This window comes from Homo sapiens, chromosome 10 (assembly GCF_000001405.40).
Source record: "Homo sapiens chromosome 10, GRCh38.p14 Primary Assembly".
In the NCBI taxonomy this organism is placed as follows: Eukaryota; Metazoa; Chordata; class Mammalia; order Primates; family Hominidae; genus Homo; species Homo sapiens.
The window spans coordinates 14,577,501-14,593,527 of NC_000010.11; the positions used below are offsets into that span (position 1 = coordinate 14,577,501).

Sequence of the window (16,027 nt, forward strand, 5' to 3'; positions counted from 1 at the left end):
AAAAAAAAATGTTCTAGTCTTAAAAATTGTTTCTTTTTAAAAACTGTATTTCCGAAGGTATACAGATCAATATCAGAGTGTTAGCCCCTGATTTTCAGGTTGAGATCCTGGGATTTCAGCTCCCAAGATGGCAGGAGAGGCCTTGTTCTCTAACGCTAATCTCAGCTCATTTCCAAGTGCCAAGCCTTGAAACTCAGATCTGTAAACCTCTGCTTATAACGTAACAACACAGGTCCACATTAATAACCATGATGAAGCAGGCCCAATGTTTTTAACCCCCAATGTGAACAAAAGTATTTACTTATAATCTAGTTTTCTGTGCATTCTCTAATACTGAAGTCGTTTCTCTTTAAGATAAACATTTTAGGACAGTTAATATTTCTGTAACTGCAGCCAGCCAGGAAATACATTGAGTTACACGAAGTTTTTTATTAAAGGTGGTATGGCTAATGCCACCTAAAAATGGCTCCCTTCCCCCAGTTCTTCCCAGTGGAACTTAGTCCTAAAGCTGACACCCATTTTCATGTTTAAATAAGAGCTTCACAGGGCTCTCAACCTCCACATCCAGAGCCAGGGCGTGCGGGTACAAAGCTTTCTTTCCATTTGGAAAAGTTCATTAAATGAAATGGTAACGAACTCCGCTTCCAAGCAGAATGAGCAACTACGCTAACATTTCTGTTAACTGCAAGCAGGTGCCAGCCTCCCTAATGACAGGAAGTTCCCTGAGGGCGAATATCCTGCACTTATCTGTGCCCTGGATGCTGGATCCTTCATTTGGAGTTGAACAAACATCAGTTGAATTAATACATTCCATAAACTCAATCCAGTCTCACTCATCTGTCTTCACTCTGCCAAACCTCTTTGAGTAATTTCCTCAACGTTAGAAATATAGTGAAGAAAAGTCTAGAATAAACAAGTTGCTTCCCTATCACGGAGGCACATTTCCTTCGGAGATTCTGAAATAACACTACTGGCTTATAAATATGACAAGCCTTCACTGGGGAAAAAAAAGAGATCCATCAGACTTGCCGAGAGAGGGGACCTTGCCAAATTGCTCACTTTCTGGTCCTGTTTATAGAGTGAGTGATAGCAGTCTTCATTTGCGACATATTTTCCGGAGTCCGGAAGCAGCTACTGGCCATTCAGAAGGCAAGAAGACCTCACCAACTGCACCCTCGGTCACAAGAAAGAATTATTTACTTGGGAATTCCTGTTCAGCAAAAGAAAAACAGAACTATTTAAGAAGAGATTAGAACAAGGAAGAATGGGGCAGAAGAGAAGTATGCATACCATTCCTGGCAAATCATTGTTGGGAACAAACAATGACGATCAAATTTTAATCTAAAGAATGCCGCAAGTTAGCTCACCTGTGGTTTATCACTACCCCAAGTACTGATTACTCAATCAGGGTCTCCAAAAAGTATAGCATGTTTTCGTTCAAACGCAAGCTAAAAATGACAGCCTTGTTCACACATTGTAAGACTTTACCTAAATTATAACGAAGAGAAAAAAAAGCTACACTCCTTTTCTATTAATATATACAAGCCTCTCAGGAAAATTCCCGGTGACAAACACCTAGAAAAAACCCATTCGTTGTATGAAGCACTCGGCTCAAGTCCATAAATTGATTTTCTAAGATGTTATCTTAATTTGCTTCTGAAATAATTACCAATTTGACATACCAATTGTGAAAATTAATTTTTTTAAATGTAAGCTTCTCCAAAGAAGGGTCGGCCAGCTAAGCATCATTTGGAAACACCCATACCAATTAGTAGAATTCCTTGAACAGAGGAAGGCACTAAGTCAATGAATGAAAACAAACTAAACTCTTTTGGAAACAGCAATGCTGAAGAAACCGTATATTCAATCTTCAGAAGCCAGTTACCCGGTTGCTGTAAAGCAGTGCATATCTAAACCCTCTATTGCAAAGTAACCAAAATCTCACAATTAGAATAAACAGAGGAAACCAGTGAGAGGGTCATCTCAAAACCGTTCCTACCTCTCTACCTGGCTGGTAACTGCCCTAAAATTGCAACCCTGGGCTTTATCAAGCAAAGAAATGGAAATTCTACTTAAGCAAATCCAGAAATTTCTGTTAGTTGCATTACCCAAGTAAAAGCACACAAGGGCAACAGAATTTCAAAACCAAGTTTGTTACTCAATACCCCATATTAGGAGATAAGAGGAGGATAAAACTGTTCTGTCATTCACTAGTTCCTTCCAAAAAAGATTTGGAGTGTGTTAAAAGTCATACATGTCTCATGCCTGTAATCCCAGCATTTGGGAGGCTGAGGACAGATCACTTGAGGTCAGGAGTTCGAGACCAGCCTGGCCAATACGGTGAAACCCCATCTCTACTAAAAATACAAAAATTAGCCAAGCATGATGGCAGGCACCTGCAGTCCCAGATACTTGGGAGGCTGAGGCAGAAGAATTGCTTGAACCCAGGAAGCAGAAGTTGCAGTGAGCTGAGATCATGCCATTACACTCCAGCATGTGTTACAGCAAGACTTCATTTCAAAAAAAAAAAAAAAGTCATACATTCAACTAGGTAAATAAAATAACATTAGAAAGCCAGGCTGGGTGCGGTGGCTCAAGCCTGTAATCCCAGCACTTTGGGAGGCCCAGGTGGGTGGATCATGAGGTCAGGAGATCAAGACCATCCTGGCTAATATGGTGAAACCCTGTCTCTACTAAAAATCCAAAAAAATTAGCTGGGCATGGTGGTGGGTGCCTGTAGCCCCAGCTACTTGGGAGGCTGAGACAGGAGAATGGCGTGAACCCAGGAGGTGGAGCTTGCAGTGAGCCGAGATCATGCCACTGCACTCCAGCCTGCACGACAGAGCAAGACTCCGTGCCAAAAAAAAAAGTAAGTAAGTCAAGGCCACCCTACAAAAGAAACAGCAAGTGGTACACACAAGGGCTAATATAATTTCCAGATCTCTGTATTAAGTGTGGTTTTGAGTTTCCTGGGGGCCAGGACCAAAAATAAAAAGGTACATACTATACATTCTTAGAAAAAAAAATAAGTATCCATCTTCTCAAGGAAAAGAAAAAATATCATGGTATGATTGTCTAAAAGAAGTTTTCCACATGGAATGTTACACAAGGAACAGCGCACTACAGCATGGACAAAAGCCTTTATTCATTCATGCCAAATAAAAGCATACTGAACACATAGCTGTGTTTTATTAAAAAAAAAAAACTGTTAAAGGCCAAAGACATAGGATTATGCCTAGCCTTTAATTCACTGCTCTTTAAATCATTTTAATTCACTGAAAGAAAATGCTAGCAGGATCCTCACACTTGGCCTCCCAGGATCCTAACTTCATACCAAGATGGAACGTAATGTATTCTGCAGAACGTTCTTCCCAGAGATCATTTCCTTCTGTTGGCTTATTGAGAGCACAGTGATTAAAACCTCCAGAACTCTTACTCTGTTGCTTTGGTAAGTTCAATAAGCAATCTCACCTGGCTGAATGCACCTGAAGTTACAGCAAATCAGAGCAAGAACTAAAGCAAGTCTCTGCTGCTGGAAACAGCAGATACAAAACCCAAAGTCTATGAAATGTAGGTTCTAGCGGCCGGGCCAGGGGAGGAGGAGGACAGGCAATTTGCAAATGAGCACGCACATATCTGCAATCGGTCTGGTGCAGTGCTCGGAAGAAAAATAACAAGAGCTGAGTAAGAGAGCGTTGCGCGTCAGATGTCGCATTTATAAAGGGTGGCCCGGAGGCCTCTGCAGCACATTTGGCCCAAGTTTTCCTGACAGGGATCTGGAGAAACACAGAGGCCCTGGGCAAGCACCTGAATCGCTGCTTAGGGAAAACAGCAAAGAGGCCAATGTGGCTGCGGTAGGGTGCCACGAGGGAAGCGGCTGGAACCCGGGTCAGGCTCAGCCTCAGATGCATTCCACAACTCAAGAAGCAGTTGATTCAAGTGTCAGAGTTCCAGGCCACCAAATGCAGTGGAAAAATTAACTGGCCTGAAAGACGTTCGTTCAGAGCCATCCCTGCCACAGCCTCATCCAGCCATCAGGATGTTCCCAGCAGACATCTAATTCTGGCTGCCATCACCGGCAGGTGTCCACACCAGGAGCAGTTTTAAAATCAATGCCCAGCCAGGCGCGGTGGCTCATACTTGTACTCCCAGCTCTTTGGAAGGTCAAGGCAGGATGACTGTTTGAGGTCAAGAGTTGGAGAACAGCCTGGGCACCATAGCAAGACCCTGTTTCTACAAAAACATAGTAAAACTCAAGTGAGCGTGGTGGTGCACACCCACGGTCCCAGCTACTCGGGAGGCTGGGGTGGGAGGATCACTTGAGTCCAGGAGTCCAGGGCTGCAGTGAACTGTGGTCACATCACATCACTGTACTCCAGACTGGGTAACAGAGCAAGACCATGTCTCAAAAAAATAAAATAAATATAAATAAAATCAATGCCCATTTATCATAAGGAGACAGCTGTACAGAATTTGGTATTGTTTAAAATTGTATAGGATGCTTGCCCAAGTTGACAGTTTCAACTTTGGCATATTGTTGACACATTCTTTGTGACAAAAGTTGACACTCCCAGTTATGGCACATAAGAATAAAACCCTGTCTTCAACCATAGAGAATAGCAGCAGCAGCCTGTTTGCCATGGGTTACCAAAGGGATCCAAGGTTGCTAGGATACTTCAGTTTCAAATATCCTTCTTTGCTATCCCCGTAAATATACACTAAGTTTTCAAACAATTCACTCTAATCCTGATTAGATAATAAACTGTGACCACACCTCTGGGAGATAAATAATGGTCTTTCTAAAAACAGTACCAGAGCATCGAAGTGTAAGTTATTGCAACCACATACCCATGTTTGTTTTTGTTTTTTCTTTTCTTTTTTTTTTTTTTTTTTTGAGACAGAGTCTCACTCTGTTGCCCAGGCTGGAGTGCAGTGGCACAATCTCTGCTCACGGCAACCTCCGCCTCCTGGATTCAAGCAATTCTCCTGCCTCAGCCTCCCGAGTAGCTGGGACTAACAGGCGCCTGCCACCACACCCGGCTAATTTTTTGTATTTTTAGTAGAGACAGGGTTTCACCATGTTAACCAGGATGGTCTCGATCTCCTGACCTTGTGATCTGCCCCCCTCGGCCTCCCAAAGAGCTGGGATTACAGGCGTGAGCCACCACACCCAGCCTACCCACATGTTTTAACGTTGTACTGAGTACTTATTCCATGGAGGCACACTACTCTTACACCAACTTTATTACTGTATAACTCTATGAAGGAGGCACTATTATTTTATTGATAAGAAAGACGAAACTCGCCGGGCATGGTGGCTTACGCCTATAATCCCAGCACTTTGGGAGGCCAAGGCACGTGAACCACCTGAGGTCAGGAGTTCGAGATCGGCCTGGCCAACATGGCAAAACCCCATCTCTACTAAAAATACAAAAATTAGCCGGGCAGAGTGGCGTGCCCCTATAATCCCAGCTACTTGGGAGGCTAAGGCAGGAGAATTGCTTGAACCCAGCGGGGTGGAGGCTGCAGTAAGCGGAGATCGCGCCACTGCACTCCAGCCTGGGCAAAACAGTGAGACTCTGTCTCAAAAAAAAAAAAAAAAAAGAAAAGAAAGAAAGAAAGCCAAAGCTGGTAAACGGCAGACCTGGAAGGTGGGCCCGGCAGTCTCATTCCAGAGCCTGATAAATCATACTATTACTATTTCTCCAACTAAAGAAACCAGAAGGAGGAAAATTCTTCATCTGGCAGAAGTTACCCAGGGAGAGAGAAGAGGACATATCCCTTCTGCTTGGCTAACAGGACAGCCTGTGTCTTATTTGAGAGTCAGGGCCCTCGCGGGGCAGAGTCGGAGATGAAGATACTGCAGGGAAAGTAGCTGCTGCTGCACCTTAGTGACAGATGACATGAAGCGCAGGACCGCAGCACAGACCACAGAACTCTGAAAACAGGACCCAAGCTCACCTTAGCGGGAAGTCACCACCCACTCACCTCCGCCCTTCTAGAGCTGAGTATTCTTTCACCTGTGGAAGTCACAAGCATGTGGCGTGGCTCTCCATTTTTAATTTTTTTAAAAAGTGGTCGCGGAAGTTGTGGCCAGACACATCACCCCACCCCAGTCCTAAAGGTAAGGTGGGTGGGGACGGAGGAAGAAGAAGAGGCTGGGCCTAACTAATCTGGGCACGTCCTTGCCAACACCTGCTGCTATGAAGGAGGGGGAAAAGTTGACAGTGGAAGGAAACTACAGGGAAAAAGGAAAAGAAACCACTGGACAAGGCCACAAGTTCGTCCATTCACCGGAAGAATCTTCTATAGGCGAACCCTGTTGAGCGCTCTCCTAGACCCAAGGCCACCCCTCAGGATCCAGGGCCTGGGACACAATACAAAGTACAAAACGACACTCTCCCCGAAAGGGACTCGTGGTCACCGTTGTTCATAGGAGTGTTTCATGGCAAGTCTTAGGAAAGAGGGTTTTGAGTTCAGGAAGTGTGGGACTAAAATGACACCAACACAGAAATAAACACTGCCTTTCAGTAGGAGTTCCTAGCTACTCCGGCAGATCCAGATGCTGAGACATACTGGGTCCGAAAGAAAGACTGATGGAGGGACCAAGCAAGACAGGCCCTCCTGATGCCCAGCCCTGAGGCTGCCACCTAAATAAGCAGCAACACTCTGGGTCTGATCTGGGTAGCTCGTTGGTGTCTCAGCTGAGTAGCAGCAATGACTCAGGAAGAAGCACTTAAGCCCTATAGGACCCTAAAGAGACACAAAGATGAGGATGCCAAGGGTCCCTGTCCTCAGAGTTGCCAACCAGATATGGAAAAACGCAGTGTATAACCAAGTGACCAGGGGAAAACCCCAAGGTGGAAAAGGACCTCCGAGGTCCAGCTGCCGATGAGAATTATGCTTTCGCACCCCATGGCCCTCGGCACTCAGAGTCTTTCGCTCCATTTTCACCATAAACAAAAAAGTCTCAAAACATGACAACAGCCTGTAAGATGCTGTGATCCAAATAAAATAGTTGGTGCAGAAATTCAAGGAAGTGCATCAACTCCTCCCAAAAGGGATGGAGAAACCACACCAAAAGAAAACCAGGAACACACGTGCAGTGCTCTCCCTACAATTATAAACAGCTCCAAGATACGGACCCTGTGAGGCAGGAGAATAGGGGCTGGAGGCAGGGAACCTAAGGCCGATTCACACTGACTTCCTAGAACTAAATCAAAAGGATAACCCCAACTTTCCACACCTATGTAACAAAAGGACCGGAGGCCACTCCCCTTGCAACCCCCACCTTTTCTGCATGGCAGGTGAAACTGAAAGGACCTCTGCTTGGTCCCCTCTTCCAACCAATCAGGCTGGTCACAGGCCAAGTCTTCATTTGCACAGGAGTATAACTTTGTAACTTCACTTCAGCCTGTAATTGGTTGCTTCCTGCAACCAATCAGATGTTGGCACAGGGTGTAACTTTGTAACTTCGCTTCAGCCTCTGATTGCTCCCCTCTTGCTGATTCAAATAACCAATCAGACCAATAGTGAGCCATTAGTTCATTTACACAAGGTGTACACCAAGTAACCAAAGGGACACCTCTAGAGGGTATTTAAACCCAAGAAAATTCTGTAACCGGGCTCTTGAGCCCCTATGCCCAGCCCGCTCCCACCCTGTAGAGTGTACTTTTGTTTTCAATAAATTTCTGCTTTTGTTGCTTCATTCTTTCCTTGCTTTGTTTGTGCGTTTTGTCCAATTCTTTGTTCAAAATGCCAAGAACCTGGACACCCTCCACTAGTAACACCTGGACCCCACCTCAGCCCCCTCCACTCTCGCAAGCCCCATCTTCCCGGCAGTCAACTAAGAATCAGACTTTCCCAGCCCCTGTCAACCAGGCTGATGAGTAGAAGACCAAGAATCCTCTCCCTCCTCTCTTCCTCTTCCCTCTCTCACCAGTCCCTGCCACCAAGCCTTTAGGTGAAGCCACGGACCCTGGGGGGCGCCAGGAAAAGCAAGTACAGTCTCTCGAGCACTCCAGCCAATTACAGAGGTGCAATTACAGATGCTGCATGTGCAGCTGCCCTGAGGTTTACAGAATTAGCTTATCAATGACAAAACAGACGGCCATCTAAAACACACACTGGGAGAAAAGAGCTCTGAAAAGTGTGGCGCAGAACGTTCTTTGGAATTCAAATAACAAGTACACAAAGAGAGGCAGCCAAGCTCCGCCCATGAGACAGGTAAACCATGGACTCACCACAGAACCTTGTGTGGTCAAATCTTTGGTCAGGATCTTCACTCATACACATAACAAATACTTCTCTGCAACCAAGTACTCGTGAGTAGGGTGACCATATTAATTGTCGACCACAGCAGTCATTGCTGAGTAAGGAGGAAGCCTCTGTTACTAATTACACCTGGACCAGGCTCGTCCCAAACCAAACAGGAAATGCACTCTCCCTGCATACAAGGCACCCTCAGGGGGTTCTCCTGCCACTAACTGCTGACCCTGGATCCCTCTTGCTTGGGCGTGCAGGGGTGCTCCCAGCCAGCAATCAGCTCCTGCATAAACAGGAACCCAGCAAGCAACAAAATACCTGGGCAAGGGCACTGAGTCCGCATCACTGTCAACTCCTGGTTACTGGTGACCTCCTGACCCGAATTCCTCATGTGCTAGTTCAATTCCTGACCTTCAGCCTCACTCTCACTTCTACAACTCACATCCTCCTTATCCTCCTCCATCCCAGGCCACTGAAAACCCACCTTCTCTTCAGAACACTGCTTTGCTTTTAAGAATCCTACCTGTAGCAAAGAACGTCTCTGTGGTAGATTTAAAAATAAAAGAAAAAAATATATGAGATGAGAATCCTGCCTGCCCATAGACTTGAAGCCTCTGCTCACCTTGGCCATGGCTATGGACTGAATATTTTTTCCTCCTCCACCATAAATTCATATTATTTAAGCCCTAATCCCAACGTGATGATATTTGGAAGTGGGGCTTAGGGGAAGTAATTAAGTCATAGAAGTGGAGCCCTCATGAATGGGATTAGTGCCCTTAGAAAAAGAGACACCAGGCAGATGATCTCCCTCTCCACCATGTGGGGATACAGCAAAAAGGTGGCCTTCTACAAAACACGAAGGGAGCCCTCACCAGACACCAAATCTGCCAGCATCTTTGATCTTGGAGTTCCCAACCTCCAGAACTGTGAGAAATAAATGCTGTTTAAGCCACCCCGTCTGTGGTATTTGTTACAGCAGCCCAAATGGATGAAGACAGCCATACCTTTGAGCCCAGGGTCGCTCCTCCACTCTCCAATTAGATCCCAGAGCTCCAGTATGGACCCTCTACCCCCACCAGGTTCCTAACCTGTCTCTGTATTCTACCACTGCTTATCAAACTAGGCTACATTTCAGGTGGAGAAGGCCCAAGAGGATGATATAGGTGAAACATTCACCCCAATCCTGGGACAAACTCTCTCTCATTGAGTCCTATGAGAATGGAATAGTCTCGCCCATCAGGTGAGAGTGTAAACAATCACGTATGACATCACATCACAACACCACCTTGGGGGAGCAGACACTAACCTCTGTTCACACCTGTGTACAGGCACTGTGCCAGGTGCTTTTCCTGCCTGATAATAGTCACACTGCAGAGATGAGAAAACTTGAACTCACCAAGATAAAAGCACTTACGACATGCCACCTAGGTCTATCTAGCAAAAAGTTCATCGTCCTTCTAATGCGCCAGTGTCGGAACTAATAAATGACAACATACATCTGAAAAAAGCCTGAGGATAATGACAGTGTAAGACACAATGCAGGTACTCATGTATTTATTCTCATGTATTTATGCACAGAAATATATTCTCATATATTTATTTAGAAAGAACTCCCATATTTATCCAATCGCGGGAAGTTGCTTAGCCCTAGAAGTCAAAATGTGGACAACAGACACAGTCGACAAAGATAGTTCTCATACATTTAAATAAATGCCTAGGCTTATTTTCATGGTATGAACAACTATTTTTCATGTTTAATGTTTTTAAGACTTTCCATTAGTATGAATAAGAATTTGTCTTACACAAACATCCAAAAAAAGACAGTTTCTTTAGGATTACATATCTTAAACATTATTTTCTTTTCTGCTATAAAATCGTCACCACAACCCTAGCAACTAGGAAGTTTTGTTTCCTGTCCTTGTTTTTATTCTTTTGTGGTGGCAAGTGCCAGCATGTGGGGTAGGTAGGGTGAGGCAAGGTGGGTGACAGTAAAGGACACTGTGCTCAATTCGAAGCTACGGGAGGAGAGAGCTCTAGTCCTAGATTTGCACCAAGGAGCTTTGAGCTCTCAGTAATTCAGCAACCCTGGGCTGTCATTTCATCTATAAAATCAGAGGGTTAGGTGTTCTCCACAGCCTCCTCCTGCACTCAATCCTATGATAACTGCTGAAAACTCCAGCATGGGACAATTACCAGTGTGACACCCTTGAGAGAAATGGTGGGATGTATATTTAAAAAAGACTATCTAATGACTCACCCATGAGTAAAAAATAATTTACTTCCATTTTAAAATCCATATTAATCGACGTGACGTTAGTAGAGAGAGTGCCTAATGTCTGACAGCGCTTCTGAAGAGGATATAAATAGGCGGTTTTTGAAATTAGTCAGCCATGTGCTCACGTCCACCAAGAAGCACATGCAGGCAACATGCTCCAGGCTGTGCGTGCAAGCTGTTCTGTTTCCAGCACAAATGCAGAAAAGGGGAAAAAAGCAGTCCTGGTAGAGTCAGTCATCACATATTTCAGCTGTAAGTAGGAAACAGGAAGCTCACAAAGAATTGTAATTTAGAAGCATTTAAAACAAAACAAACAAACCTACTCCAGGCACAAATACCAGATAGCTGCAAAGCCAACTGTGGTATTTGATGACAAATTGTTTAAAGTCACCAGTGGGTCAGAGTACAAACCACGCCCACGTGAAAGTCTCCCTGGACGCTACCAGGGTCTACCCATTCTCCCCTCTCTGTAAGCCAGCTTCACACAGGTAAGTGGGTCCCATAAACCCCCGGAGGCACCCACATCTGGCTCTTTGTGGGCAGCGCAAGTAGAGAAAAAGACAGTCAACCAACCGTCCTGAGAAACAGGAGGCTGACACTCAGAAAATCAACATCAAACATCCTCTCCCATGCCACAGGGTGACTTCTCACCTCCACTCCTCCCCACCCATCACCCCACACACGCTGTCTCCCAAAAACACATCTGATCTTTATGAAATCTCAGCTTCAGAGCTCCCCAGGATGTTACTGTTACTGAAGGGGAGTGAAAAGGAGGAAGAAGAGAGAGAAGGAGGGCTCCAAACCCATCCCAAGTTGATTCCTTCATGATGTTTCCAAGAATTTAAAGAATAAGTGGTGAGGCTGGGCGCAGTGACTCACGCCTGTAATCCCAGCACTTTGGGAGGCCAAAGCAGGCAGATCACTTGAGGTCAGGAGTTCGAGACCAGCCTGGTCAACGTGGTGAAACCCCATCCTTACTAAAAATACAAAAATTAGCCGGGTGTGGTGGTGCATGCCGGTGGTCTCAGCTACTTGGGAGGCTGAGGCAGGAGAATCACTTGAGCCCAGGAGGTTGCAGTGAGCCGAGATAACATCACTGCACTACAGCCTAGGTGACACACCGAGACTGTCTCAAAAAAAAAAAAAGAAAAGAAAAAAAAGAGTAAGTGGTGACTTTTTAAAAGAATGGTCAAAGGAATTATTTTTAAAGCTGTAGGTTGGCATAGGACATTTATCAAAAGAAAGAAACTATCAGTTCAAACTTACCTAGACATCTTATAAGAGTCCTGAACCATCTATAATCTGAAAGCTTTTTCAAATACTAGTAAGCCAGGCACAATTACCAATTATTCAAATAACATTTATTATAGCTAGTGATTTCCACTGACTATATCTGCAATAATTAGAGCTGGTAGGTTTTTAAAAATATAGATTTTAAGAGTATATGGAAAGTCCTTGAAAGGCAATGTTTCTGGGCTGTTAGGAATAAGGCATTCCTTTAACACGAAATAATGAATTTTAAACAGTAATAATAATAACAAGGAAGAAATGAATGACTGAATGAATCAGAAGGCAGTACACCATAGGGTGAATAAGAGTACATTCTTGGGGGATGAGGGGCAAGGGGAGGGAAAGCATTAGGACAAATACCAAATGTATGCGGGGCTTAAAACCTAGATGACAGATTGATGGGTGCGCCAAACCACCGTGGCACATGTATACCTATGTAAGAATCCTGCATGTACTGCACATGTAGCCCAGAACATAAAGCAAAATTTAAAAATTTTAAAAATTAAAAAAAAGAAAAGCACATTCTTTGCAGTGAATATATCTCAGTCCTGGGTGATCCTGGGCAAGATATTCAATGTCTCTATGCCTCAACATCCTCCTCAGAAAATAAAACCAATTACAGTCCTAAATCACAGGGTTGTCATGAGGATCCAAAAATGATGCATGTAAGAAGCATTTAACATGTTCAAAAGAAACACTTAACGTACTAATGGTCCTTATTCCAGGATGAGTTTTGGTTCCAACTCTACAAATCATTAGCTGTGTGGTCTTGGGCAAGCAATTTAACACATCTAAGCGTTGGTTTATTCACCAAAAATGAAGAATCTTGATTAGATGACCTCTTCATTTCTATGGCTTCTCCAAGCTCAAGACCTCTCTGACAACAGAAGCAACATTTATGATTTCAAACTCTTCCACGTTTCTAGTTTTCACATCTTTCTTTTAGGACTTATTGGTCACAGCCATGATTTATATGAAATCAAGTGTTTGGTCAACAGCACGACTCCTCAGAATGAGACTGTGACTATGGGAATCCTAGAACCTACTTTATAATGATCCTTTTAACAAATAGGTTTCAAACAACACATTGTGGCAAAAGACAGGCTTGCCCATGATAGTTAGAATCAATATATTTCCATTCTGGTAGCCTTCAAGTATGGAAGTTGTCCCAAAATCAAACTGCGGATGTAGTATGTCACCGTGCAGCCTGGTGCTGATGGAGCATATGTAAATTAAATTCATTCGCTACGATCATGCTTCTTCCAAAGGAACTCTCAATTTCTTCCTAACAGAAACAATTCAAGTATCTACCCTCTCCAAACACTCTTAACAATGAAGTTGAGAGGTGCCATTAAGAGATCCATTTCTCAGCCAGGCGTAGTGGCTCATGCCTGTAATCCCAGCACTTTGGGAGGGTGAGGCAGGCGGATCACCCAAGGTCAGAAATTCGAGACCAGCCTGACCAACATGGAGAAACCCTGTCTCTACTAAAAAAAAAAAAACACAAAATTAGATGGGTGTGGTAGCACGTGCCTGTAATCCCAGCTACTTGAGAGGCTGAGGCAGGAGAATCACATGAATCCAGGAGGCGGAGGTTGCAGTGAGCCGAGATCGTTCCACTGCACTCCAGCCTGGGCAACAAGAGCAAAACTCCATCTCAAAAAAAAAAAAAAAAAAAAAAGATCCATTTCTTCCGTATGTTTGCAGAAGAAAACACAAAACTATTTCAGATGTATCATTCTCCTCTAGTTATCTTAAACTCATCAATGACTGATCTTTTATAAGAAAAGACTGAGCATGAATGTCTCCTTACAAGTCAGAAAATTTAAAATGACAATTGAAAAAGATACTCTCTATCATGGTCTGCACCATCACGGGGAATTCTACCTCCTAAACCTAGGTCATTCTCTCCTAACTTAGGTGAACAGGCACCCAAGTTACATAAAAAAGAGAGTTAGCACATATGCACAGAATTTAATATTGCTGCAACTCAAGACTTAAATAACAAAATTAACCTGACAGGGTAACATCCACAGAAGACCGTGCAAACGGTAATTAACTTTAATAACAGGAGGCGCTCACAGTAACTGCAAGAGCCAAGCCAATCTTTGCTTTTTTCTGTGAATTCTGTAGATGCCCCTAAGCTGTATCAATGTTGTCAGTTTTCCCCGATACCCTGGTCAGTTTAAATCTCATCTCATGCTCACTGCCATCTCATTAAGAGAGAAGAATCAACAATCTCTAATGAAATAATTAATTCAAACAACAGTCATCGATGAATGCTAACGGCATTGGGAGAAAGATCGATGAGGAAATGAAAGGGTCAAGCTGCCACCCACCACAGGACCCCAACGCTCAGTTTTAGAATCACTACACGTGAGACAGTCAGACCTTTTCCTAAGCTGAGGCAACGTTAAGCCAGATGATACCAACAAATTAATCCTGCCAAAAACACTGCACATGAATCTGATCAAGCTTTCATGATAACTTCCAGTTTACAGAAATACAGGGACTAGTGGGATGAGTTTAAAAGAAACCCAGCACCCAAATCCAGAATGTGGAACATTCTACGGAACAAGTGACCTGATTCCTTCAACAAGTCAATAGCATGGGGGGAAGGGGTGGGGGTAAAGGAACTGTTCTATATGTATACAGCTTTAAAAGGCATAACCATCAAATGCATTGGACAGACTTTGTTCAAATCCTGGTCCTTAAGAAAAGCCATTTCTAAGTGAATAAGGGATGAAATCAATGCTGGGGAGGTGGGAAGTTCAGCAGATCCCTGGGCTTCCCCGATCCCGTGCCATCTGATTTCCCAAACTGCATGCCCAGCCATCCCCGAGTTGAAAGGTCAGGGCCCAGCACAGAAACTAGGCTATGAATGGCTGGGCCACACCCAGCTCAGGACCAAGAAACCCTCAGGTAAGATGATTCAGCTTTGGCAAAGGAAGAGGCAGTTCCTGGGGCTACTAGTGCGGAAATGTACAGGTTCCTTTGCTGGAAATTTTTGCCAGCAGGTTCGTAGCAACTCTGAGGCTTCATGGGAAAGCCATTCACATAAAAAAGCATAAAATCACAGGTCTGTCCAGAGTCAATTTATCACGTGAATCAAAACAAGGCACCTCTGAAGTGAAAGGGGAGAAAAAGAGACAACACCTAACAGGTGGCTTAGATTTTGCATCCTTAACAGTGTCTAATCCTGCATTTCTACCCAGGGGTTTTGTAGTTTGGCTTTGTTTTTCGTGTATCTTTTTAAAAATATATAATTGAGGCATAACTTGCATAAAGTGCATGCATTACATGTACAGCCCAATTTTTACTCCCTGCAATTTCAATTTTACTTGGATCAGTTTTGCAAGATAATATCTCCTCTCTTCAAGGCATGTGCCAGTCAGAAGCGATTCTGGAATGGAAAAAGAAACAGACTGGGGCCTGCTTCTAACTCCTGCGCCCTGCACACTGGTAGCCTGGGCAGCTGACATGCACCGTCCAGCCAGGACACAGATTAAAGCTGAACAGAGTCCCTTGGCAACGGAAGATAACAGCTTCTTCACTGCACCATTCCAGTACCTACCTCTGCCCCCAAATCCTACTTTCCCCCAGGCTTCCAGCTCAAGTCGTGAGGATTTCTAACTGGCCACTGCACTGCCTGGAATTGCCCAACAAATATGGAACAATGGTTGACCTCTTTCACTCATTTCAAAGGCCCACCATTCAGCGGGTTAATATTTTAAAAAATGGCAGACTTCCCTGGGGTCCTACCCAGATAAAGAGATCAACAAAGATTTGAACGAAGTCTTTTTAAATTAAAATTTAATATTATTAATTCTTAATTTTTATTCTTAAAACTAGGTATTCTAACATAAAAAGCTTTTTTGTTTGCTACTTTGAACTAGTAAACTAAAATTATAATTAAAAATCCTTAAAAGAGAAAAACATACTAAACGTGAAAAATAAGTTTAACGACACCATAATTCCATTTGAGAAAGTTTAGGAAGATGTGACACCAGTAAAAACTGTTCTACCAGCAACCAGGGGTAGAACCCAGTGTAACACTAATTCTTATTCAAGAAAGTTTACTGCTGGCCGGGCGCAGTGGCACTTTGGGAGGCTGAGGTGGGCGGATCACTTGAGGCCAGGAATTCGAGACCAGCCTGGCCAATATGGTGAAACCCCATGTCTAATAAAAATAAAAAT

At 43.9% G+C, this 16,027-nt stretch overlaps 1 protein-coding gene across 12 annotated transcripts in view, besides 2 other annotated features; it reads right to left on the minus strand.

Moving 5' to 3' along the window:
* Positions 1-16,027, minus strand: part of FAM107B (family with sequence similarity 107 member B) — a 256,341-nt gene that overhangs the window by 58,944 nt on the left and 181,370 nt on the right. The gene's annotated exons all lie outside the window — the stretch shown is intronic.
* Positions 5,741-5,800: an enhancer, noted in NCBI's record as "active region_3074". NCBI's record gives its function as "activates an Ori minimal core promoter by ATAC-STARR-seq in GM12878 lymphoblastoid cells {active_cell/tissue: GM12878}" and the evidence as "EXISTENCE:reporter gene assay evidence [ECO:0000049][PMID:35858748]".
* Positions 10,778-10,977: an enhancer, noted in NCBI's record as "active region_3075". NCBI's record gives its function as "activates an Ori minimal core promoter by ATAC-STARR-seq in GM12878 lymphoblastoid cells {active_cell/tissue: GM12878}" and the evidence as "EXISTENCE:reporter gene assay evidence [ECO:0000049][PMID:35858748]".